This window comes from Homo sapiens, chromosome 16 (genome assembly GCF_000001405.40).
Source record: "Homo sapiens chromosome 16, GRCh38.p14 Primary Assembly".
In the NCBI taxonomy this organism is placed as follows: domain Eukaryota; kingdom Metazoa; phylum Chordata; class Mammalia; order Primates; family Hominidae; genus Homo; species Homo sapiens.
The window spans coordinates 33,533,716-33,559,858 of record NC_000016.10 but is presented as its reverse complement, the minus strand read 5'-3'; the positions used below and the strand labels follow the sequence as shown (position 1 = coordinate 33,559,858).

Here is a 26,143-nt window from a genome sequence, read left to right as displayed (position 1 = left end):
TATTAAGTCTGTGTTGTTGTAAGCCAATCAGTTCATGGTAATTTGTTACAGCAGCCATAGAAAACTAATTGACTCACCAATGGGAGAAATCAGCTGCTGATTGAAGGTTACCAAACATCTACTTCCTTTCCTAACGTCACTTTAATTTTATCTTGGAGGAATTCTTTTCCCTACCCCATTAAGTTATGGGAGATGGGGCCAGGCATGGTGGCTTAGCAATCCCAGCACTTTGGGAGGCTGAGGCAGGTGGATCACTTGAGGTCTGGAGTTTGAGACTAGCCTGGACAACATAGTGAAACCCCATCTTTACTAAAAATACGAAAATTAGCCAGGTGTGGTGGTAGGCACCTGTAATCCCAGCTACTCCAGAGGCTGTGGCATGAGAATTGCTTGAACCTAGGAGGCAGAGGTTGCAGTGAGCTGAGATCGCATCACTGCACTCCAGCTTGTGTGACAGAGTGAGACTCCATCTCAAAAAAAAAAAAATTTTGTGGGAGAGGATGGTAAAGCTAAGTATCTTTTGCACCTACTCCCCAGCCCCACCACTGCAGAAGCTGAAGGGGTTCCTAGAGGCTTCTTCTGCCATGGAGCGGATCCCACTGGCCCCTAGCTAGAGGTGGGTGTAGGACTTTGAAACATGAACAAATGGAGCTGGGATGGTAAGGGCGGGAACAATATTGTGCTAATCTGAACTCTGCACTTCCTAACTTTGGCTCTGGGTAAATTACCTCAAATTGCTGAGCCTTTGTTTCCATATTTATAAAATGGGTGCAGTAAGAGTACCAACCTCTTCTATGCTGTTTGGAGGAGGCAGGTCCATAAGGTACCTGGCATGTGGTAGGGGATTCATGAATGTTGGCTTCTATCATTAAGGGTGGGGGAGCCACATAAGTAGCCAGAGGGAGTCATAGAAAGTTCTTGAGCCAGAGAAGTAAGATAATCTTTTCAGCTTTTTGTGCAGCATAAAAGGCGGGTAATTTGCTTGCCTTTGACCAAGGAAATTTGGGACGTGCCAGGCCTGGGGTGAATGGTGGGAACCCAAATAGAGGGATATTTCTCATTGGCTGAATTAACTGTGATTCCATTTTGCGGAGCAGCCAGGTTGCTTCATGGTGGACCTGCTGCATGCCTACATGATGGTGCCATGGATAGCTCTTGTTTGTGCCAGCCCTGTATCTGACACCTCCTGTGGTAATTGCATCCCTATTTTTCAGAAGGAAGCATCCCTCCTCCCACTTTCTGGTTTTCCCCATGTCCTTCTGGAGGGGATGACCCCAACTGCTTCCTGAAGGGGCTTCCTGAAAGCCAGGTCTGGCCAGGCTGGATGTGGTGGTTGGCTCAGGCAGGGGCATGTGGCCCAAACGGGTCCAGTGAAAGTCAGTCCTGGGACTTTGGCTGGAACTATTGGGGAACAGCCTCTGCTTTCTTGCGCAGATGTGAGTTAGGAGCTGCTCAGGCCACTATGTGGAAAGAATTGCATGAGAATGAAGTAATCAAAGGGAAGCAAGCACCGAGACATTAGAGAGACTTATCTTGTATAAGTGCCTGTATCCAGCTATGCCTGAAGTGAGGTACCACCCCAGGCCTTTTCAGTCATGCTATCAGTTTTGTTCCTTTTTTCTGTTTTACTCTTGGTGGAGTTATTTTTTTTTTCCTTGTTACTTGAATAAGAAAAATACCAAACTAGAAGGCTGGGTGCAGTGGCTCATGCCTGTAATCCCAGTACTTTGGGAGGTCAAGGCAGGTGGATCATGAGGTCAGGAGTTTGAGATCAGCCTGACCAACATGGTGAAATCCTGTCTCTAATAAAAATACAAAAAAATTAGCCAGGCGTGGTGGTGCGTGCCTTTAATCCCAGCTACTCAGGAGGCTGAGGCAAGAGAATTGCTTGCATCTGGGAGGCGGAGGTTGCAGTGAGCCGAGATCGTGCCACTGCACTCCAGCCTAGGTGACAGAGCAAGACTCCATCTCAAAAAAAAAACAAAAACAAAAACAAAAAAGCAAAACAAAAAGAAAACCAGACTAGTAAATGCAACCATTTACAAATCCCAAGAGACTCTTGAAGATTCTTTTTGTTAGTAGGGAAAACATTCTCCATTTTTCTGCCAACTTTAGGGTTTTCAGAGAAGTTTTGGGGAGAGAAAGGAAAGCAAACAGGTGGGAAGAAAGAGTCCTTGAAACCCCAAGTCGGGCGAACTCCTCCCAGCTACTTATACCACAGGGTTTTGGGAGCAGAGCCCCTTTCATTAAACTTTTAGGATTCTTGGATGGATAGGGTGGGAATTACACCAGTGAAACTCAGCTTTGTGTGTGCCAGGCATTGGGCCCTGGGATATGCAGTCATGTGTTGTATAATGACATTTTAGTCAATGACAAACCACATGTAAGTCACTGGTACCATAAGACGATTATGGAGCTGAAAAATTCCTATTGCTTAGTGACATAGCCATTGTAATGTTAGGGTAATGCATTTCTGTGTTTCTGGTGATGCTGGTGTAAACAAATCTGTGCTGCCAGTTCTATAAAAGCATAGCATGTACAATTACATACAATATATAATACTTGATAATGAACAACTATGTTACTGGTTTATTTTATTTTTTTGAGACAGAGTCTTGCTCTGTCGCACAGGCTGGAGTGCAGTGGCGCGATCTTGGCTCACTGCAACTTCTGCCTCACAGGTTGAAGCGATTCTTCTGCCTCAGCCTCCTGAGTAGCAGGGAATACAGGCACCCACCACCACGGCCAGCTAATCTTTGTATTTTTAGCAGAGATGGGGTTTCACCACACCGCCCAGGCTGGTCTCAAACTCCTGACCTCAAATGATCTGCCCGCCTCAGCCACCTGAAGTGCTGGGATTACCCACATGAGACACTGTGCCCAGCCCTGGTGTATTTAGTGTTTTTCATAATTTTAGAATGTATGTCTTCTACTTACATTAAAAAATAGTTAACTATAAAACAGCCTCAGGTAGGTCCTTCAGGAAGTATTCTGGAAGAAGAAGGCATTCTTATCACAGGAGATGACATCTCCATGCGTGTAATTGCCCAGGCGGGAGTGCAGTGGCACAATCTCGGCTCACTGCAACCTCCGCCTCCTAGGTTCAAGCGATTCTCCTGCGTCAGTCTCCTGAGCAGCTGGGATTACAGGTGCACACCAACATGCCTGGCTAAGTTTTGTATTTTTAGTAGAGATGAGGGTTTCACCACGTTGGCCAGGATGGTCTTGAACTCCTGACCTCAAATGATCTGCCTGCCTCGGCCTCCCAAAGTGCTGGGATTACAGGCGTGAGACACCACGACTGGCAAAATTTTTAAGATACATTTCAGTAAGCTAAGGTTAATTTATTGAAGAAAAGCTTTAAAAAAATTTGGTGTAGCCTAAGCATATGGTGTTTATGAAGTCTACAGTAGTGTACAGTAAGGTCCTATGCCTTCACAATCATTGACTCATCCACAGCATCTTCCAGTCCTGTAAGCTCCTTTCGTGGTAAGTGCCCTATACAGGAGTACCATTTTAAATTCTCTTATGCTCTATTCTTACTGTACCTTCTCTATGTTCAGGTACACAAGTACTTACATTGCGTTACAACTGCTTATGGTACATTCAGTAAAGTATCAGGCTGTACAGGTGTGTAGCCTAGGAGCAATAGGCCATACAGCCTAGGTGTTTAGTAGGCTATACAAGGCTATACAAGGTTTGTGTTAATGCACTTTGCTGTTTGCACAATGCTGCAATCACCTAAGGAGGCATTTCTCAGAACCATCCCGTGATTAAGAGAGGCATGATCGTACAGTCATCATCTCCCTGAAAGCTCAGTCAACCCTGTGCAGTGCTACTGCCACACTCCCCTTTTGCACATGTAGAAATCAAGGATCTTTGGCTCCTCTGAGTGACTTGTTCAAGGTTTCTCAGTTTCCAAGAGATGGAGGCGGGACTTGAATTGAGATTTCCCTTTCTTGAGAACCTGTGGTCCTTAACCATTAAAACCACTTAAGAGGTCTTCTCTCTTGATCACTACCTACTAAGTGCTAGGCGCGGTGCTGAGGCGTTCTCTTGATTATGATATTGAGTCTTCAGATTTCGGAGAAACAGGCCGAGCGCGCTGGCTCACGCCTGTAATCTCAGCACTTTGCGAGGCCAAGGCGGGAGGATCACAAGGTCAGGAGATGGAGACCATCCTGGCTAACACGGTGAAACCCCACCTCTACTAAAAATACAAAAATCAGCAGGTGGTGGCGGGCGCCTGTAGTCTCAGCTGCTCCGGAGGCTGAGGCAGGAGAATGGCGTGAACCCGGGAGGTGGAGCTTGCAGTGAGCCGAGATCGCGCCACAGCACTCCAGCCTGGGTGACAGAGCGAGACTGTCTCAAAAAAAAAAAAAAAAAAAAAAAAAAAGATTTAGGAGAAACAAGTCCCGAAGCCCTGACCCTAACACGCAAGGGTTAGTGGAGATGTGGGACTTCAACTCAGCTTCTCCGTTGAGTCTGGCTGTCTCCGGGACGCAGGCACCTGCTTGCACACCTCCACGGTGGCGATCCCGCCCCCTTAGTAGCGTCCTTAGCTGGGCACTTCTTGCAGGGAAGCTCCTCTTGGCCCAGACCCTCGTCCTAGGCCCCGCGTGGTGGGGGAAGCGAAAGGGGCAGTGTGGGGAAGTGGCCGAGGGGTCGGGTCCGGGGTGGTCTGCAGAGAGGCAGGCGGCGGTGCCGAGCCGGGAACCACGCGCTCACCCGCGGAGTCGGACGGGCCCGGCGGGGGTGGGCGAGACACTGGGAACAGCGGCCAGCTCCAGAGGGCGCGAGGCGGGGCGCGCGGGGAGGGAGGGGGCGCGGCGAACGCGCGCGTGCGGGGTTCGTGTGTGGGCCCGCGGGGGCGCGCGTGGCTGGGGGGCAGTGAGGGTCGCCTCGGCGGCGAGCAGCACAGCGGGAACATGGCGCCCGGAACTGGCGAGCGCGCCTAGCTGGCGGGACCGTTAGCTCGAGGCGGACGCGGCCCGGACCCGGTGGATGTGGAGCAGTCGCCGCTGCCGGCGCCCAAGCCGACCCCAGGGCCGACCCCCGCAAGGAGCTGAAGGAGGTGGGAGCCCCAGTCGCCGCGGGCGTCGGCGCCGGTGAGTGCGTGAGGGGCTCGGGCCGGGAGACTTTCTTTGTGAAACTCCGGCGGTGGGAGCCTGGCCGGGCCTCAGCGGCTGAGGAGTGCCTGTGAGGCGGAAGGCGTCTGGCAGTCCGGGTTCCATCCCAGCCGCTAGCCGTCAGGCGGCGGGACCTGGTCCGCCGCCTGCCTGCCTCAGTTTCCACGGGAGTGTGTGCGGGTGTGTGAGGGTGTGTATGGGTGTTGGCCTGCGCACACCGGAGGGGGGGTCGGTATACTGTCAGCGCCTAATGCGCGCGGCGCCTCCCCCCTCCCCCCAGTCCCCGTGGGGCGGAACCTGGGGACTGGAGTCCACCGGAGCAGTAGGCGGCACCCGCGGGGAGACAGATGTCCGCACAGCCCGGGAGGCTCAGGTGCTACCTTTCCCTGGTGGGGTTTGTGAGGAGTGAGCTCTTCGTTCCCGGAGGCGAGCAAGTCTGTCGGTGGCTCATCACAGAGCGCTGTTTTGGAAAGCGTTCCACCCACCTCAGCTTCCTGCTGTGTTTGGGCCACTAGTCAGGGGGAAGGATGCTGAGCGACATGGACTTTAGAGGTGGGACCCCCGCTGGACGGGATGGGTCTGGGCTCTCGAGCTTACCCCCACCCTTTCCTCCCAAACCCGTTAGAGCGTAGGAATCATTGGGAGCACCTGATAAAAATGCCACGGATTGTGGCTCACCTAAGCAGGGAAGCCGATTTGGAACTTAAACAAGCTCCCAAGTTGTGATCAGTCGAGCTTGGCAAGCACTGTTTGAGAGAGTAGGCTTCCCGCAAGCAGGAGCCGGTTTTGTGTATACCTCACCATGGCATCTTGGTACCTGGCATGGTGCCTGGCACACGGTAGATGATCAGAAAATATCTGTAGAAAGTCTAAATTATTAGGGAGAGTGCAGCATAGGAGTTCTTGAGACATTTTCAGGAGCTTCTTGAGATTAATATCTGTCAGATTTGTTTTACAGTATATTTTTCTCAGCTCCCAACTTTTGTGATTGTTTTTAATGCCATGTTTTCAGTATGTTCTAGGCAAAAGCAGGGTATATGTTGCTTAGTATACACTATCGAGTAGGCCGGTTGTGGTGGCTCACTCCTGTAATCTCAGCACTTTGGGAGGCAGATTGCTTGAGCCCAGGGGCTTGAGGCTGTAGTGAGCCAAGGACTTAGAGACCAGTGTGGGAAACATAGCGAGGCTCGTCTCCGCAAAAATTAGCTGGGTGTGGTAACGTGCACTTGCAGTCCCAGCTACTCTGGAGACTGAGGTGGGAGGATCGCTTGAGCTCAGGAAGCACAAGTTGCAGTGAGCCAAGGTTGTGCCACTGCATTCCATCCTGGATAACACAGCGAAACCCAGTCTCTTAAATAAGTAAATAAATACATAAATGATTATGTATACTCCAGCTAGGTTAAAATTAATTCTGAATCAAAATTCTAAATTAAAATATGCATGTTTCTTTGTCTTCATCATTTGAGAACACTAGGCTTTTAGGATTTCATTCCGTTGAGGCAGGTAAATATCTACATTTTTGACAAAGCAAATATGAATTACTGTTAATTCGAGAAAGGTGGGAATTTGCTTAAACCTGAGTATTTGTAGTCTTTGTGACTTTTTTAAATTTTAAATTTAAATTTTCTTTTTTTTTTCTTTTTTTTTGAGATGGAGTCTCACTCTGTCGTCCAGGCTGGAGTGCAGTAGCACAATCTCAGGTCACTACAACCTCCACCTCCCGAATTCATACGATTCCCCTGCCTCAGCCTCTGGTGTAGCTGGCATTACAAGTGTGTGCCACCATGCCCAGCTAATTTATGTATTTTTAGTAGAGAGGAGGTTTCACTGTGTTGCCCAGGCTGGTCCCAAACTCCTTGACCTCAAGTGATCTGCCCACCTTGGCCTCCCGAAGTGCTGGGATTACAGGTGTGAGCCACAGCACCTGGCCTTATTTTTATTTTTTTGAGACGGACTCTCAGTCTGTCGCCCAGGTTGGAGTGCTGTGGCATGATCTCCACTCACTGCAACCTCCACCTCCCAGATTCCAGTGATTCTAATGCCTCGGCCTCCTGAGTAGCTGGGGTTACTAGACCCGGGTAATTTTTGTTGTATTTTTTTAGTAGAGACTGGGTTTCCCTATGTTGGCCAGGCTGCTCTGGAACTCCTGGCCTCTAGTGAGGCTCATGCCTCGTCCTCCCAAAGTGCTGGAATTACAAGCATGAGCCACTGCCCCCAGCCAATCTTTGTGATATTTTGAAATTGACGTTTATATTTTGTTCAGAGTCAAAGCTAAAATAGAATTGTTTGAAAATTAATATTTCAGGAACTATTTTTTAATTAAGTTGAATTTTATTTTATTAGTTTCATTTCAGTAGAGTTTTAACCTAAAAAATATATATATACATATACACATATATACGTATATATATATATATATACGCATATATGTGTATATGTGTGTGTGTGTATATATATATATATATATATATTTTTTTTTTTTTTTTTCCTGAGACGGAGTCTTGCTCTGTCACCCAGGCTGGAGTGTAGTGGAATGATCTTGGCCTCACTGCAGCCTCCACCCTCCCGGCTCAAGCAATTCTCCTGCCTCAGCCTCCCAAGTAGCTGGAATTACAGGTGCCCACCACTACACCTGGCTAATTTTTATATTTTTAGAAGAGATGGGGTTTCACCATGTTGTCCAGGCTGGTTTTGAACTCCTGATCTCAAATGATCTGCCCTCCTTGGCCTCCCAAAGTGCTGGGATTACAGGCGTGAGCCCCCGTGCCTGGCCTAAAAAATATTTTTAAAGGCAGGATCTAGCTATGTTGCCTCAGCTGGTCTTGAACTCCCAGTCTTGGCCTCAAGTGATCCTTCTTCCTCAGCCTTCTGAATAGCTGGAAGCACAGCTGTGAGCCAGAACACATGGCTTTTTTTTATTTCTAATAAAGTTAATAGAGTTTCTTGTTTCACTGGACAAAATATGCATATATAGGAAGGAAAGACTTTTGGACTTGAGATTGCGCTGAAGAAGAAAAATGGAAAAATTAAGCATTTTAGTCTCTCAGTGTGTTATTTTTGTAGCTTATACAGATATGTCTTTTTAAAGTGTCTTTAAAAAGCTTTATTGAGATAAAGATAAATGAGATAAATTCACCTACCATGAAATCAACCCCTTGAGTGCAGAATTTTGTGGTTTATAATATGTTCACAGAATCGCACAAACAAGACAGGTATCTAGATACTTTCAGACCATTTTCATCAGTCCACAAGAAATCCCATACCCATTAGCAGTCATCCTTATTCCCTTTTCCCCTAGTCCCTGGCAATAACTAGCTTACTTTCTGTCTCTGAGTTTAGCTGTTCTGGAGGTTTCACAGAATGAAATCTTACTACATATGGTCTTTTGTGATTGACTTATTTCACTTGACACAGTGTTTTCAAGGTTTATCCATGCTGTAGCGTATATCAACACTTCATTCTTTTTTAATGCTGAGTAATCTTTTGAATGGATATACCATATTTTTTCAGTTCCTCTGTTGATAGGCACTTGAGTTTTTTTTCCAATTTTTGGCTATTATGCACAATGCTGCTGTGAACATTTGTGTACAAATTTTAGTGTGGATGTATATTTTCATTTCCCTTGGGTATATCCCTAAGGAATACACTATCCGGGTCATATGATAATTGTTTAAGACTACAGGCACGTGCCACCACACCTGGCAAATATTTAAAAATTTTTTGTAGATAAAGGGTCTCGCTATTTTGCCCAGGCTGATCTTGAACTCCTGGCCTCAAGAGATCCTCTCACCTCAGCCTCCCAGAAAGTGTTAGCATTACAGATGTGAGTCACTGCACCTATAAAAGAGGTTCATACCTCTTTTTATGTATTTTTTTTTTGAGACAGGCTTTCACTCTGTTGCCCAGGCTGGAGTGCAGTGGTGGGATCACAGCTCACTGCAGCCTGGACCTCTCTCCATATGATTCTAGCTGTGGGTGTCTTTCCTGTAGTTTTTATTATGTTGTGGTATGTTTCTTCTGTACCCGTTTATTTGAGGATTAATAGCATGAAGGGATGTTGAATTTCATCAAATGCTTTTTCAGTTTCAGTTGACATGATCATACTGTTTTTGTCGTTTATTTGGTTGATATGATGTATCACATTGTATGTTGAGTGACTCTTGCATCCCAGGGATACATCCCACTTGATCATGATGAATTATCTTTTTAATGTTTTACTGAATTTGATTCACTGGTATTTCGTTGAGGATTTTTGCATCAATATTAGAGATACTGGCCTGTAGTTTCCTTCTTTGATGCCTTCGTCTGATTTTGGTATCACAGTAATAATGGTCTCATAGAATAAGTTTGGAAGTATTCCCTCCTGTTTTTCAAAATAGTTTGAGTAGGATTTGTACTAGGTCATTAAATTGTTTGGTGTGAAGCCATCAGCAGTGAAGACATCAGTTCCTGGGCTTTTCTTTACTGGGAGACTTTTTCTGATGGCTTCAATCTCATTACTTGTTACCAATCTGTTCTGGTCTTGGATGTTTTCATTGTTCAACCTAAGTAGGTTGTATGCATCTAGGAATTTGCCAATTTCTACTAGGCTTTCCAATTTATTGGCATATAATAGCCAGTTATGATCCTTTGAATTTCTGAAGTATTAGTTGTAATGTCTCCCTTTTTTAATCTGTTGATTTTATTTATTTGAATCTTGTCTCTTTTTTCTTAGTTAGCCTGGTTAAAAGTTTGTCAATTTTGTTTTGCTTTCCAGAAAACCAACTTTTCATTTCATCTTGTGTGTTTTTTTCTTTCAATTTTATTTCTGCTACGATCTTATTTATTTTTCTTATTTTTGGTTTAGTTTGTTCTTACTTTACTAGTTATTTAAGATGTATTGTTTATTTGAAGTTTTTCTTTTGTTTGGATGGTAGGCACTTATAGCTGTAAATCTCTGCCTTTGTACTGCTTTCTGCATAACAAGTTTTGGTATACTGTGTTTTCGTTACCCTTTGTTTCATGAAATTTTTGAATTTCTGTCTTATTATCTTCATTGACCCGCTAGTCATTTATTCAGGTGGGTAGTGTTTAACTTCCATGTGATTGTATTGTTTCCAAAATTACTCTTCTTATTGATATCTAGTTTTATTCCTTTGTAGTCAAAGAAGATGGCCACGGAGACAGCAGTGTGGTCAGAGTGGTGGAGCTGGTCATCGGCGAGAGCTGCTCCATGTCTGTCTGCTGAGTGCTAGAGCCTGTGGCCCACTGGCTTGCCTCACTGTGGTTGATGGTGGCGGTGACAGAGACTGCAGCACGACCAGAGTGGTAGGACAGGGGCTATCCAGGGCTGCACCTTTCACAGTGTGGGGTGGGTTGGGGGTGCTATCCAGGGTGTCATTGCCTGCATTAGGGGCACTGGTTGGTAGCACTGTACAGGGCTGCACTTCCCGTGGCAGGGAGGGTGGGTTATGGGCACTTTCTGGGGCTGCAGTGCCCATGGAGGAGGACAGGTTAGGGCACTATCAGGTATATGCTACTGGCGGCATTGGGGGATGGAGGTGGGGGGCGCTATTGAGGGCAGGACTATCCATGGAGCGGGGGCGAGTTCGGTGCTATCAGGGGCTGCACTGCTGGCAGTGGTCAGCAGAGTTGGCATCCAAGGAAGGAGTGGTTCTCCTCTCCCTGACTCCACATTCCAGAGGGCGACCCACTCTTGGTCATACTGGAATGCGGCAGGCACGCAGCGTTTGCGTGGGAATCCTGAGCACGGCAGAACCCCCACACCCACCATGGTTCCTGGGCCTGTGCACTCTGGGTCTGTGCCTCAGAGGCTGCCAGGCACCCCTGGGGACACCACGGGGGACAGGGCCCTGGGTGCGGAGGCGTCTGGAACAGGAATTGGCACCTGGGTGCGGAGGGCTGGCTGGGTCTGAATTTTTCTGCTTCTCCTGCTCCCCGAGGAGTGCAGCCCCGGTGGGCCCAATGGTTCCTGTGGAGTGGGGAGCTGGGTGCTGTGGTGTCTCCAGCACCCACCCCAGACCCCAGTTCCCGGCCAGCTTGGGCCAAAAGGAGAGGCTGGACTTTGGAGGGTGGGTGTGAGTGCCTTTGCTGAAACTGGCCCCTGCCACCCAGTGGCCAGCATGACAAGTTGAGGCTCTAACCCTTCCACCCCTCACATCTTCCTCTAGGCTTTTCTGGCTTTGCCCACCCAGCTGCTCCATGCCAGGAGGAGGAGGAGACACCTAGAGCCTGCGACACCACGACTTGCCTCACTGCGGGTGGGTGGCAGCGACAGAGACTGCAGTGCGCCAGAGCGGTAGGAGAGCGGCCGCGCTAGGAGGGCAGGCGGCTGCAGCCAGGGTTGGGGGTCAGGCTTACAGCGATGGACGGGCTGCAGCAGTGGCCAGGTGGTAGGAGCCTTGTAGGGAAGGCTGGTGCATTGGCAATGGGCCTGGCTTTGCCCTGCATTGCCCTGTACCCGCCCTACTGTTACCTGGACTGTCTCGGCCCTGTCCTGCTCTGGTCCCATCCTGACCCTGTCTTGGCCCTGTGCTACTCTGTCCCTGTCCTGGTCTTGCCCTGGCACTGGCCCTGCCCTGAACTGGCACTGGCCCTGCCCTGAACCTGCACTGGCCTGACCTTGGCTCTGGCCCTGGCTCTGGCCCTACCCCTTGTCCTGACCCTGGTCATGTCATGGCACTGGCCCTGCCAGTGGTCATGGTCCTACTCCTGTTCTGGCCCTGACCTGGCCTTGGACATGTCCTGGTCTTGCTTTGGCCCATCCCTGCCCTGGCCCTACCATGGGCCTGCCTTTTCTGCCCTCTCCTGGCACTGACCTTGCCCTGTCATGGCCCAGTGGTGCCATTGCCCTGCTTTACACTGCACTGGTTGTACCTCGGCCCCGCTTGGTGCTGGCCACTCCCTGGACCTGCCCAGACCCTGCCTTGACTTTTGCCCTGCCCTCACTACGGCCTGGCCCTGGCCCTAGCCCTGGTCCTGCCATATCCCTGGCCCTGCCCTTATCCAGGCCCTGCCCCTGCTGCTGCCCTGGCCCTGGCCTGGAACCTGGTCCTGTCAAGGACCTGCCCTGACTCTGTCATGGCCCTGGCCCTGCTCTGCCTTGTCCTGGCCCTGACCCTTTCCTGGCTCTGCACTGGCCTTTCCCTGGCCCTGAGCTGGCAGTGGTCTACCCCTGCTCTGGCCATCACCCTGCCCTGCTGTGCTCTGGATGTGTCCTCACCCTGCCCTGGCCCTACTCTGCCTTTGACCCTGCCCTGGCCTTACCTTGGCCCTCACCCTAGTCTTCGCTAGGCCCTGCTCTGGAGCTGGCCCTAGCACAGACCTGGCCCTGACCCTGGCCCTGGTCTTTGTCCTGCCATAGCCCTGGCCCTGAAGTGGACTTGGAGGTGTCCTGGCCCCGGCGTAACATGGCTCTGCATTGGCCTGTCCCTGCCCTGCCCCTACCATTGCCTTGCCCTGCTCTGCCCTGTCCCAGTACTGACCCGGCCATGCTATTTCCCTGCCCTACCCTGCCTTGGCTGTGCCCTGGCTCAGTTCTGGCCCTGGCCCCGGCCCTGCCCTGGACATGTTCTGACACTGCCTCAGCCTTGGCACTAGCCTGGCTCTCTCTTGGCATCAGTCCTGCTCTCTCTGTGGACCGGCTCTTGTCCTGTCCTCTACTGGCCATACCATGCCCTGCCCTGCCCTGCCCTGACTCAGCCCTGGCCCAGCCTTGGCCTTGGCATTGCCCCTGGTCCTGCCATATTTCTTGCCCTGTCCCTACCCTGGCCTTGGCCCTGACCCTTACCTTGCTCTGGCCCTGCCCTTGCCCTAACACAGCCCCTGGCCCTGTCATGGCCCTGCCCTGGACCTGTCCTGGCCCTGGCCTTTCCCTGCTTGAGACCTTGCCCTGGTTCTCCTCTGGCCCTGACCCTGAAATGCCTGGCCCTACCCTGGCCTTGCACTGCTCTGGCCCTTGCCCTGACTCTGGTCCTGTCACTGGCCTAGCCCCATCCCTGTTGCTGGTCTTACCATGGCCCAGACCCTGCCTTGGCCCTGCCCTGACACTATCCTGGACCCTGGCTGTGCCAAGATCCTGCACTGTCCTTGCCCTTGTTTTGCTCCTGCCCCAAACCTGGTCTTGCCCAGGCCCTGGCCCTGGCCCTCCCCTGGCTGTTCCCTGGCCCTGCCCAGGTCTTGGCACTGGCCTGGCCCTGCCCTGCCTTGGCCCTATGCTTTCCTGGCCCTTCCTTGACGGCCCTGGTCCTGCCTTGGCCCTAGCCTGGCTTTGACCCTGCCCTGGCCCTACCTTGGCCTTCATCCTAGCCTTACCTGGGCACTGTGTTGTACCTGGCCATAGCACAGACCTGGCTGTGGCCCTGGCCCTGCCATGGCCCTGCCCCAGACCCTAGCCCTGCCAGGTACCTGTCCTGGCCCTGCTCTGGGCCTGGCTTTGTCCCTGGTTCTTAGGTGACCCTGGCCCTGCCCCTGCCCTTGTCTTTGCCCTGGCACTGGCCTTGGACATGTCCGTGGTCCTAACCCTGGCCCTGCCCTGGAGCTGCCACTGTCTTGGCCCTGCCCTGGCTCTGGCCCTGCCCCGGCCCTGGCCCTGCCCCGGCCCCAGCCATAGACCTGCCCTGGTTGGTCGTGCCCTACCTTAACCCTGTGCTACCCTGGACCTACTCCACCCTGCCCTGGCCCTGCCCTCCCTTTGGCCCTGCCCTGACCCCGCCTTGGCCCTAGCACATACCTGGTCCTATCTGTGGCATTGGCCTGGCATTGACCCCTGCTCCTGACCCTGATCCTGCCATGGCCCTTGCCCTGCCAATGACCCTGACAGCCCTGGCCCTGGCCCTGTCTTGGCCCTGGCCCTGAACTGGCCCTGCCCTGACCCTGGCCCTGAATTGGATTTGCAGGTGTCTTGTCCCTGATTTAACCTGGCCCTACCATGGCCCTGTCCCTCTCCTGGCTCTGTCCTGGTCTTGTGCTGACCCTGACCCAGACCTTGGCCCTGCCCCAGCCTTGTCCTTGACCTGGCCATGGCCCTGCCTCTGCCCTGGACCAGCGCTGTCACTGGCATGGACCCTGGCCCTGGCCCTTTGCTACTTAAGGCCATAACCTGTCCCAGCCCTGGTCCTGACCCTGTCCTGGCCCTAATTTGGCCGGCTCTACCCTGGCATGCTATTCTGGCCCTAGCCTTGACCCTGTCCCTGTCCCTCTCCTGGCCCTAGCCCCATTGCTGGTCCTGCCATGGCTCTTATCCTGACATTGCCCTTTCCTGGTCCTGGCCCCGGCCCTGTCCCAGCCCTGTTCTGGCCCTGGTCTGAACCCTGGCCCTGCAATGGACCCTCCTTGGTCCTACCCAGACCCTGGTTCTGGTCCTACCTCTGCCCTGGCCATACCTTTGCCCTGGCCTGGACCCCGGTACTGGTCCTTGTCCTGCCCCAGCCGTGGCCCCGGCCCCGCCCTGCCTGTGCCCTGTTCTATCCTGGGCTGGCCCTGCCATGGCCTGGTCTTGCCATTGGCCTGCCCTAGCCTGCCCTGCTTGTGCCCTAGATCTGCCCCGGCCTTTGCCCCTGTCTTGGTTCCAGCCTTGACTCAGCCCTGGACCTTCCCTGACCTTGCCTCAGCCCTGGCACTACCCTGGCCTTGGCTTGGCATTTGCCCTACTCTCTCTATGGCCTGGCTCTGGTCCTGCCCTGCTCTGCTCTTGTTCTGTCCTGGCACAGCCCTGGCCCTGCCGTATCACTGGCTCTGGTCCTGCCCTTATGCAGGCCTGACCGTGCCCCTGCCTTGGCTTTGGCCTGGACCTTGGCCGTACAGTGACCCTGCCATGACCCTTTCCTGGCCCTGGCCTGGAACTTGGCCCTGCCAAGGACTCGCCCTGGCTCTGTCATGGCCCCGGCCCTTTCCTGGATTTGGATGTGTCCTGTCCCTTATTTGCCCCGGCCCTTCCCTGGCTCTGCCATACCCCTTCTCTGGGGTAGGGCCAGGGTCAGGACCAGGGTAGGGCCATGGTAAGGCCTGAAGATGGGAAGGGCTGGGGCAGCGGCAGGACCAGGGAAGGGTCAGGGCCAGTGATGTGGTAGGACTAGGGGCAGAGCCGGCACTAGGGCTGAGCCGGAGCAGAGCAGGAGAGATTATATTAGGCTATTACATAAAATTTTTATTTTAGATTTTTAAGATAACTATGGTAGTGGTAATAATGTCCATACTATGTTGTTTGTAATAGTAATAATATTTGCAGTAAATAATCACTAAATTTTAACTAATACTATCTTTGCTTCCAGTAGTGTTCTATGAGTACAATTTTATCAATATGTAAATATGTGAGGCATTGATTCTCACAATAATTCTATGTGCTAGGTACTTAAAGCATCCCCATTTTCCAAATGTAGGAAACAGGCATAAAGAAGTTAAATACTTGGCCAGATTACTCCTGTAATCCCAGCACTTTGGGAGGCCAAGGCAGGCAAATGGCTTGAGCTCAGGAGTTTGGAACCAGCCTGGGCAACATTGTGAAACCCCATCTCTACTAAAAATGCACAAAAAGAGCTGATTTAAGTTTCTTGTAGGATTCTGGTTATAAAACACTGGTCAAACACACCGGGCGTGGATAGGGCAGGGCCAGGGACAAGGTCAGGTCAGGAAGGGGCCAGGGCCAAGGCAGGGCCAGAGCTGGACTTGGAGGTGTCCTGGTCTGATTTGCCCTGTCCCAACGTTGGCCCAGCCCTGCTCTGGCACTTCCTGTCATGCCCTGTCCCTGGTCTGAGCATTGGCCCTGGCCCTGTCCTGCTTCTGGCCCTGCCCCAGAGTTGACCAGGCACTGCCATGGCCCAGTCCTGCATTGCCCTGCCCTTTTCTGCCCTGGTGCTGCCATGGCCCTGCTTGGGCCCTAGCTCTGCCTCGACTCTGGACCTGCCCTGACTCTGCTCAGCCCTGGATCTACCCTGACTCTGCCTTGGTGTTGCCCTCCCATCTCTATGGCCTGGCTCTGGCCCTGCCTTGCACAGGCCATGCTCTGCCCTGCATGTCCCAGCCTGGGCCCAGCCCTTGCCCTACCATATTTCTGACCCCACCCGTACCCTTGTTCTGGCCTTGACCCTGCCGTGGCATTCTCCTGGCCCTTCCTTGGTCCTGCCCTGCCCTTCCATGCCCTGGCCTTTCCCTCACCCTGCACTGGTCCTGCCCTGCCCTGGCAGTGCCTTGGCCCTGGCCCTGCCTCTGCCTTCTCCCTGGCCTTGCTCTTTCCCTGCCCTGGCCTGACCCCAGGCCTACCGAGTCCATGAAATGACCCTGGACCTGCCTTGCCATCATCTGTCCTGGCCCTGTATTGTCCCCACCATGCTCTGGTCCAGCGCTTACCCTGGCCCTGTTGCTAGTCCTGCCACTGCTATGGCCCTGCCCTGTTTTTGGCCATGACCTGTGCTACCCTAGCCGTGCCCCGCCTTGGCCTTGGCCCTACCGTGGCCTTTTCCTACCCTGGCCTGGCCGTACACTGGCCATTTCTACCCTGGCCTTGCCCTTCCCTGGTCTTGCCCTGCCCTGGCCTTGCCCTGCCCTGGCCTTGGCTTTGCCTTATCCTGGTCCTGGTTCTGCCCTGGCCCTGCCCTTTCTCTGGATGCTCTCTGGTTCTGCCTTCTCCCTGGCCCTGCCCTTGCTCTGGCCCTGTTCCTGGCTCAGCCTTGACCCTGGCCCTGGCCCTGACAATCCCCAGGCCCCACACTGGCCATGCTTGGCCCTGGCCCCTCCTTTGGCCCTGCCCTGGCCCTGTGCTATCTTAGTACAGGGCCTTGGCCTTGGCCCTGTGCTATCTTAGTCCTGCCCTGGCCCTGAACTTGCCCTGGCCCTACCCTCACCCTACACTGGCCCTGCCCTACCCTGGCCTTGCCCTGACCTGGCCCTGCCTTTGGCCTGCCCTGGCTCTGGTTCTGCCCTGGCCTTGCCCTTGCCCTGGACCCTCCCTGGCCATGTTTTTACTGTGGTCCTTCTCTGGCCTTGCCCTTGCCCTTTCCCCTTTCTGGTCCTGCCATGTTTCTGGCCCTGCCCTGTCCATGTCCTGGACCTGACTCTGGCCCTGGACCTCCCTGTCCCTGCCCTGCCATACCCTGGCCCGTTCCTTGCTCTACACTGACCCTGCCCTGCCTTGGCCCTGTGCTACCCTAGCCCTGCCCTGGCCTTCTGCTGGCCCTGATCCTGCCATGGCCCTGGCCCTGCCATGTCCCTGCCCTGGCCCTGGTTCTGCCCTACTTCTGGCCCTGGCCTTGGTCCTCTTATGTCCCTGGCTGTGACCCTGCCCCTGGTTTTTCTCTGGCCATGACCCTGCCCTGGTTCTGTCCTATCCCTGGCCCTGTCTCAGTTCTGTCCTAGCCCTGGCCTTTCACAGTACTTTATGCTTAGTAAGGGCTCCATAGTGTCTGTGAGTTGAATGTTGTGTTCATAGTATCTGCCAAAACAGAAAGAAAAAAAACAAAATCTGAAGATGAGAAGTTAAAGCTTTGTATATAATATGCCTTGAATTGTAAGTGCTTGTTATTAGTTGTATTACATGTAGGTCATGGTTTTGTACACATAACTCCAAACCATTGATACTGTTAAAAGACTATATGAATATATGAAAGAATATATAAACGTAAGAATGTATGAGTATCTAATGACCTCTCCAAATTAATTTTTATTTTTAGCTCTATTAGATTTTTCTCAGTGTAACAAATGTTTATTCCTATGTAATTAAGGGCATATTTCCTGTACAGAATATTCATATTACTTAATTGAAAATTATATAATGCAAAAATATAATACTATTTTTAGGCCAGGCATGGTGGCTCATACCTGTAATCCCAACATTTTGAGAGGCCAAGTTTGGAGAATCATTTGAGTCCAGGAGTTGACCAGCCTGGGCAACATATTGAGACCTTTTCTTTATTAAATAAATAAATAAGTAAATAAATAGGATGGGCACTGTGGCTCATATCTGTAATCCCAGCATTTTGGGTTGCGAAGGCAGGAGGATTGCTTGAGCCCAGGAGTTTGAGACCAGCCTGGGCAGCATAGCAAGACTCCATCTCTACAAATAATAAAATATTAACCAGGTGTGGTGGTGCGCACCTGGGGTCCCAGCTACCTGGGAGGCTAAGGTGGGAGGTTTGCTTGAGGCTGCAGTGAACTGTGAATGCACCACTGCATTCCAGCCTAGGCCACAGAACAGGACCTTGTCTACCAATAAATAAGTAAAAATATAAATAAAAATAAGTAAAAAGAAATATAAGTAAATATAAATATAAATACATATAAATATAAAAATGAATACATGAAAACAAACAATTTTTAAATTTAACATCACTGAGGGCATCCTATCCATTTCATTTCATGATTCCATTACATCATTTCACTTAGATGAAATGATAAGATTACTTGAGATGAGATGAAATGATGAAATTTTGAGATGAAATGGTGAGTAGAAATGATGAGATGAAATGATGAGATAAAATGACAAAATTGAAAAGAAATTGAAAGGAGATGAGATGAGATGAAATGAGATGATGGATGAAATGATGAGATGAAACGAGATGAAATGATGAGAAGAAATGATGAGATGAAATGAAATAATGAAATGAAATGATATGAAATAATGAAATTGAGATGAGATGAGATGATATGAGATAAAATGATGAGATGAAATGAGATGAACGATAAGATGAAACAATGAAATAAGATGAGATGATAAGACGAAATGATGAAATGAGATGAAAAATGAGATGAAATAATGAAATGAGATGAAATCAAATAATGAAAGGAAATTATGAAATGTAATGATGAAATAATGAAATGGCAATGATGAGATGAGAAGAAATGATGAGATGAAATGATGAAATGATGAGATGAGATGAAATGATGAGATGAAATGAGATTAAATGATGAGATGAGATGTGATGAAATGAGATGAAATGATGACATGAAATCAGATGAAATAATGAGATGAAATGATGAGATGAAATGATGAGATGAAATGAGATGAGATGAAATGTGATGAGATGAAATGACATAATGAAATGAAATAAATGAAATGATGAAATGGAATAATGAAATGGAAATGATGAGATGAGATGCAATGAGTTGAAATGATGAGATGAAATGGTGAGATGAAAAGATGAGATGAGACGAGATGTGATGAAATGATGACATGAAATGACATAAAATGAGGTGAAATAAGATGTAATGAATGAAATGAGATGAAATGATGAGATGAGATGAAATGAAATGGTGAGATAAAGTGATGATATGAAATGATATGAAATGATGAGATGAATGATGAGATGAAATGATAAGAGGAGATGATGAGATGAAATGATGAGATGAAATGATGAGATGAACTGATGAGATGAAATGAAATAATGAAATAATGAGATGAATGATATGAAATAATGAAATAAAATGAAATTGAAATAAAATTGGAATGAGATGAGATGAAATGATAAGATGAAATGATGAAATAAAATGATGAAATGATGAGATGTGATGAGATGAAATGATGAGATGACATGACATGAAATAATGAAATGAAATAATGAAATGAAATTGAGATGAGAAGATACGAGATGAGATGAAATGATGAGATGAAATGAGTTGATGAGATGATGAGATGAAATGATGAGATGAAAAGATGAGATGAAATGATGAGATGAAATGAAATGATGAGATGAAATTAGATGAAATGTAATGAGATGAAATGAAATGACATAATGAAATGAAAAAATGAAATGAAATAATGAAATGAGGTGAAATTAAATGAGATGATGAAATTAAATGATGAAATGGAAATGAAATGGAAATGATGAGATGAGATGAAATGATGAGATGAATGATGAGATGCAATGATGAGATGAAATGATGAGATGAGATGAGATGTAATGATGAGATGTAATGAAATGAGATGAAATGAATGAGATGAAATGAAATAATGAAATTGAATTGAGATGAGATGAGATGAAATGATGAGATAAAATGAGATGAAATAAGAAATGATGAGATGAAATGATGAAATGATGAGATGAGATGAAATGATGAGATGAAATGAGATTAAATGATGAGATGAAATGATGAGATGAGATGTGATGAAATGAGATGAAATGATGACATGATATGATGACATGAAATCAGATGAAATAATGAGATGAAATGAGATGAAATGATGAGATGAAATGATGAGATGAGATGAAATGAGGTGAGATGAAATGTGATGAGATGAAATGACATAATGAAATGAAATAAATGAAATGATGAAATGGAAATGATGAGATGAGATGCAATGAGTTGAAATGATGAGATGAAATGATGAGATGAAAAGATGAGATGAGACGAGATGTGATGAAATGATGACATGAAATGACATAAAATGAGATGAAATAAGATGTAATGATGAAATGAGATGAAATGATGAGATGAGATGAAATGAAATGGTGAGATAAAATGATGATATGAAATGATGAGATGAATGATGAGATGAAATAGATAAGAGGAGATGATGAGATGAAATGATGAGATGAACTGATGAGATGAAATGAAATGAAATAATGAAATAATGAGATGAAATGATATGAAATAATGAAATAAAATGAAATTGAAATAAAATTGAGATGAGATGAAATAAGATGAAATGAAATAAAATGATGAAATGATGAGATGTGATGAGATGAAATGATGAGATGACATGACATGAAATAATGAAATGAAATAATGAAATGAAATTGAAATGAGATGAGAAGATACGAGATCAGATGAAATGATGAGATGAAATGATGAAATGATAAGATGAAATGAGTTGATGAGATGATGAGATGAAATGATGAGATGAAAAGATGAGATGAAATGAGATGATGAGATGAAATTAGATGAAATGAAATTAGATGAAATGTAATGAGATGAAATGAAATGACATAATGAAATGAAATAATGAAATGAGGTGAAATTAAATGAGATGATGAAATTAAATGATGAAATGAAATAATGAAATGGAAATGAAATGGAAATGATGAGATGAGATGAAATGATGAGATGAATGATGAGATGCAATGATGAGATGAAATGATGAAATGATGAGATGAGATGAGATGTAATGATGAGATGTAATGAAATGAGATGAAATGAATGAGATGAAATGAAATAATGAAGGAAATTGAATTGAGATGAGATGAGATGAAATGATGAGATAAAATGAGATGAAATAAGAAATGATGAGATGAAATGATGAAATGCTGAGGTGAGATGAGATGAAAGGAGATGAAATGATGAGATGAAATGAAAGGATGAGATGAAATGATGAAATGAGATGAGGTGAGATGAGATGAAATGAGATGAAATGATGAAATGATGAGATGAGAAGAAATGAGATGAAATGAGGTAAGATGAGATGAAATGATGAGATGAGATGAAATGAAATAAAGTGAAATGAAATGAAATAATGAAATTGAGATGAGACGAAATGAGTTAAACTGATGAGATGAAATGATGAGAAGAAATGAGATGAAATGATGAAATGAGATATGATGAGATGAAATGATGAGATAAAAATGATGAGATGAAATGATGAGATGAATTGAAATGAGATGAAATGATGAAATGATATTGAAATGAAATTGAAAGATGAGATGAGATGAAATGATGAAATGTTGAAATGAAATGATGAAATGAAGAGATGCGGTGAGATGAAATGATGAGCTGAAATGATGAGACAAAATGAAATGAAATGAGATTAAATGAGATGAAAAATGATGAGATGAAATGATGAGATGAAATGAGATGAGATGAATTGAGATGAGATGAGATGAAATAATGAGACTAGGTGAAATAATGAAATGAGATGAAATGAAATAATGAAATGAAATTGAAATGAGATGAGAAGAAATGATGAGATGAAATGTTGAAAGGAGGAAATGATGAGATGAGATGAAATGATGAGATGAAATGAATTGAGATGAAATGATGAGATGAAAAATGATATGAAAAATGATGAGATGAAATGAGATGATATGAAGTGACATAATGAAATAAATGAAATTAGATGAAATTAAATGAAATAGTGAAATGAAATAATGAAAATGAAATGGAAATGAGTTGAGATTTGATGAAATGATGAGATGATATGAGATGAGATAAAATGAGATGAAATGATGAGATGAAATGATGAAATGAGATGAAATGATGAGGTGAAGTGATGCACTGTCACGTGTGTGTCTATTCTTTTTCCCAACCAACAAAAATTATAATTCATTTTAATTTTATTATTTAAGAATATTCTTAAGAGTTGAAGGAAAAATAATATCTACATTATGGGTTACAATCTAAGTATAAATAATACATAAATATATTAAAACTTACAAAGAATACGTTTTGGAATCAAATATACCATGCTTCTGTGATGACAGTTATTTCATGCTGGTTGTCACAATTTTACATGAAAAACTAATGAAAAAATGTTTTTAACTGTTTCTAAAAATAAGTTTCCAAAAGAGTTTTACATTCAAAATATGAAAAAGATGTCTTTGCGTTTCTTAATCTGATGAGATTTTCACACTCTGCACATGATAATTGTTAGATTTTTATTGTGTTGATAAATTGTATATCAAATAAAAAATGTTATTACCTCTTAGGATTTTTAGGTGATATAGGCAGAAAGGAGGGCAAGTTTTTATAACTTTGTCTAAATGAACTTTCTAAATGCCTGAGTATTAAAAGATAACGTCTATAAATCACAATGTATATATTACTGTATGACCTAGGACCAATCAAAACCGTTATCTCTGATAACATTATATTGTGCCCAATATAAAATAGATATAATAATACCTCAAACTTAAATCCAGGCATTGTCATTGAATATCTTAGGAATATGCAGCAAAGGTGCTTTTAAAAATACAAGCTAGTGATTGTACTAAATTTGTAAATCACATAGGATAGTGGGTCATTTTAAGAATATTAGTTATTTCAATCTATAAACGTGGATGTCTTTCCTTTTTTGTGTTTTCTTTAATTTCTTTCATTAATATTTGTCATTTTTGTTGTAGAAATCTTTTACTTCCTTGGTTAAATTTATTTCTAAGTACATTTTTGCAGCTATTGTAAAAGGAATTGCTTTCTTAATTTCTTGTTTCAGCTAGTTTACTATCAATATATAGAAATGCTACTGATTTTTGTATGTTGATTTATATCCTGCAACTTTATTAATTTCATGTATCACCCTAAGAAGCTTTTGGTAGCATCTTATTTTTTTCCGTGTATAAGATCACATTGTCTTTAAACAAGGACAATTTGACTGTCTCCTTTCCAATTCAGATATCCTGTATTTCTTTCTCTCACCTAATTGTCCTGGCTAAGACTTTCACTATGTGAAATATGATTGGTGAAAATAGGCATCCTTTTCTTGTTACAGTAAAATCTTTTTCTTGTTCACAGTAAAATCTTTCACCTTTTCCACACTCAGTATGATCTTAGCTGTAGATTTGTCCTTTATGTCCTTCTGTGTTAAGGCATATATTTTCTACACTAAATTGTTAAGAGGTTTTTTGTCATGTAAGAATATTTAATTTTGCCAAATGCTTTTATTGTGTTTATTAATTTGATCATATGGTTTTCAGTATATATCCAAAGGAAAGAAAATCAGTATATCAAAGAGTTACCTGCACCTGCATGTTTATTACAACACTATTCACAATAGCCAAGATATGGAATCAACAAAAGTGTCCATCAACAGATGAATGGATAAAGAAATGTGACATACATATATAATGGAATATTATTTAGTCGTAATAAAGAACAAAATCCTGTTATTTGTGGCAACAAGAATGCAAGTGGAGGGCATTATGTTAGGTGAAATAAGCCTGGCATAGAAACATAAACACCACATAACTACGTGTTCTCACTTATGTATGGAAGCTAAAATTTTTAATCTCGTAGAAGTAGATAGTAGAGTTTTGGTTACCATATCCTGGAAAGAGTAGGAGAAAGAAGAGTATAAGAAAAATGTGGTTAATACATACAAAATTACAGGTGGAGAGAAGGAAGAAGTTCTAGTTCTCTACAGCACTGTTGGGTGACTGTAGTTAGCGGGAATTTATTGTGTGTTTTCAAATAACTAAAATAAAAGATTTTGAATATTCTCACTGCAAAGAAATAATACATGATTTAGGTAATGGATATGATAATGACTGTGACTTGATCTTTATGCATTGCATAAATATATCAAAATATCACTCTGTACCCCATAACATGTACATTTATTATATGTCAAAGTAAATTTAAAAGAGAAAAAATGAGGTAAAGGTAAATGTACAGAATTTAATTACTTTTTCTTCTATAAAACCCAAGAGTCAGTACCAAGAAGAGTCAATTTATTAGTTTTCTAAAATAAAAAAAATCAAAGTCGCCAAAAAAGAGCAATATCCAAGAAAACATTGAAAATGAAACACAACATTTAGTAAGAATAGAAAACTTGGGCACTGTATCACCCTGTTCCTAGATACCGATTTACTGATAGCAATTTAAATAGAATTTTATTCTATCTAATTCGTTTATACTCCCAGAGTTCGAAATTACATTTTACCTACAATAAATGAGATAACACTTGCAAATTATATGGTACTCTGCCTAACACACGTTAATAACTCAATACATGTTAGCAATAAACTTTTAGTATAGTAGTCAAAGTATTAATTTCTCACATTGCAAAGTTCCTTCAAAGACATGAATACAACCTTTCTAATGACTCCTTGTTCATCAAGATACCTCTTCAAATTATTCTATTTATTTCATTCAGTATATTATCTGTGTATACCGATATGATATTACACTCTTTTTTTTTTTTGAGATGGAATCTCATTCTGTTACTGATGCTGGAGTGAGGTGGCATGATCTCGATTCACTGCAACCTCCACCTCCCAGGTTCAAGCGATTCTCCTGTCTCAGCCCCCCAAGTAGCTAGGACTACAGGTGCACACCACCATGCCTGGCTAATTTTTGTATTTTTAGTACAGTCAGAGTTTCACCCTGTTGTCCAGGCTGGTCTCAAACTCCTGACCTCAGGTGATCCACCCACCATGGTCTCCCAAAGTGCTGGGATTACAGGCATAAGCCGCCGCACCCAGCCTGATATTGCACTCTTGGATTTTGAACACTGAATATCTTTTTGAGAGATTACACCTCTTTACCTCTTTGTGCTTCAGAAATTATTTTCCTTCAAGTGTTCTAAGAGTCTAATGAAGAATGAAGTCATGTTTTATCACTTTTGTCCTTAAAGATTTCAGACATGCTGAAACTGATTGAAGTATCATTTGCTACCAGATAGATTAATTATCTCTAGTTGTAGGAGTGGATACATCTTTAATGGTATATTTTGGGTTATTGTCTTATTTTTGATGCAGTGTTCTATAAATAATTTATTAAACCTGGCATCCTTGGGTGAGCATGGATTTTTCAACTTTGGTGTTATATTGTGTTTGCTTTTAAAAACTGCTTTTGAGGCCGGGTATGGTGGCTCTTGCCCATACCCAGCACTTTGGGAGGCCAAGGTGGGCGGATTACCTCAGGTCAGGAGTTCAAGACCAGCCTGGTCAACATGGCAAAACCATGTCTCTACTGAAAACACAAAATTAGCCAGGCATGGTGGTACATGCTTGTAGTCCTAACCACTCAGGAGGCTGAGGCAAGAGAATCACCTGAACCTGGGAGGCAAAGGTTGCTAGGTTGCTGTGAGCCAAGTTCGCACCATTGCACTCCAGCCTGGGTGAAAAGAGCAAAACTCTGTCTCAAAAAAAAAAAAAAAAAAAAACCACCAAAAACTGCTTTTGAATGGAGTTGTACATACAATCTTTATGAAAAAAAATATCAAGTGCATAAGTTCATAATAGAAAAACCAATAATACTCCAGGCACAAGTTAGTACTAAAAAAGTTATGTTGAATATTCTCTAATACAACATGCTTTTTCCCTTCATGAACGATTTGTGTTTTACTGAGAAGAGTCATTGTTTATGGTAGACAT

At 45.5% G+C, this 26,143-nt stretch overlaps 1 annotated feature.

The window, feature by feature from the left end:
* Positions 16,910–17,411: an enhancer, noted in NCBI's record as "H3K4me1 hESC enhancer chr16:33344915-33345416 (GRCh37/hg19 assembly coordinates)". NCBI's record gives its function as "activates a minimal SCP1, AML or CMV promoter by ChIP-STARR-seq in naive H9 embryonic stem cells {active_cell/tissue: H9 hESC(naive)}" and the evidence as "EXISTENCE:reporter gene assay evidence [ECO:0000049][PMID:30033119]".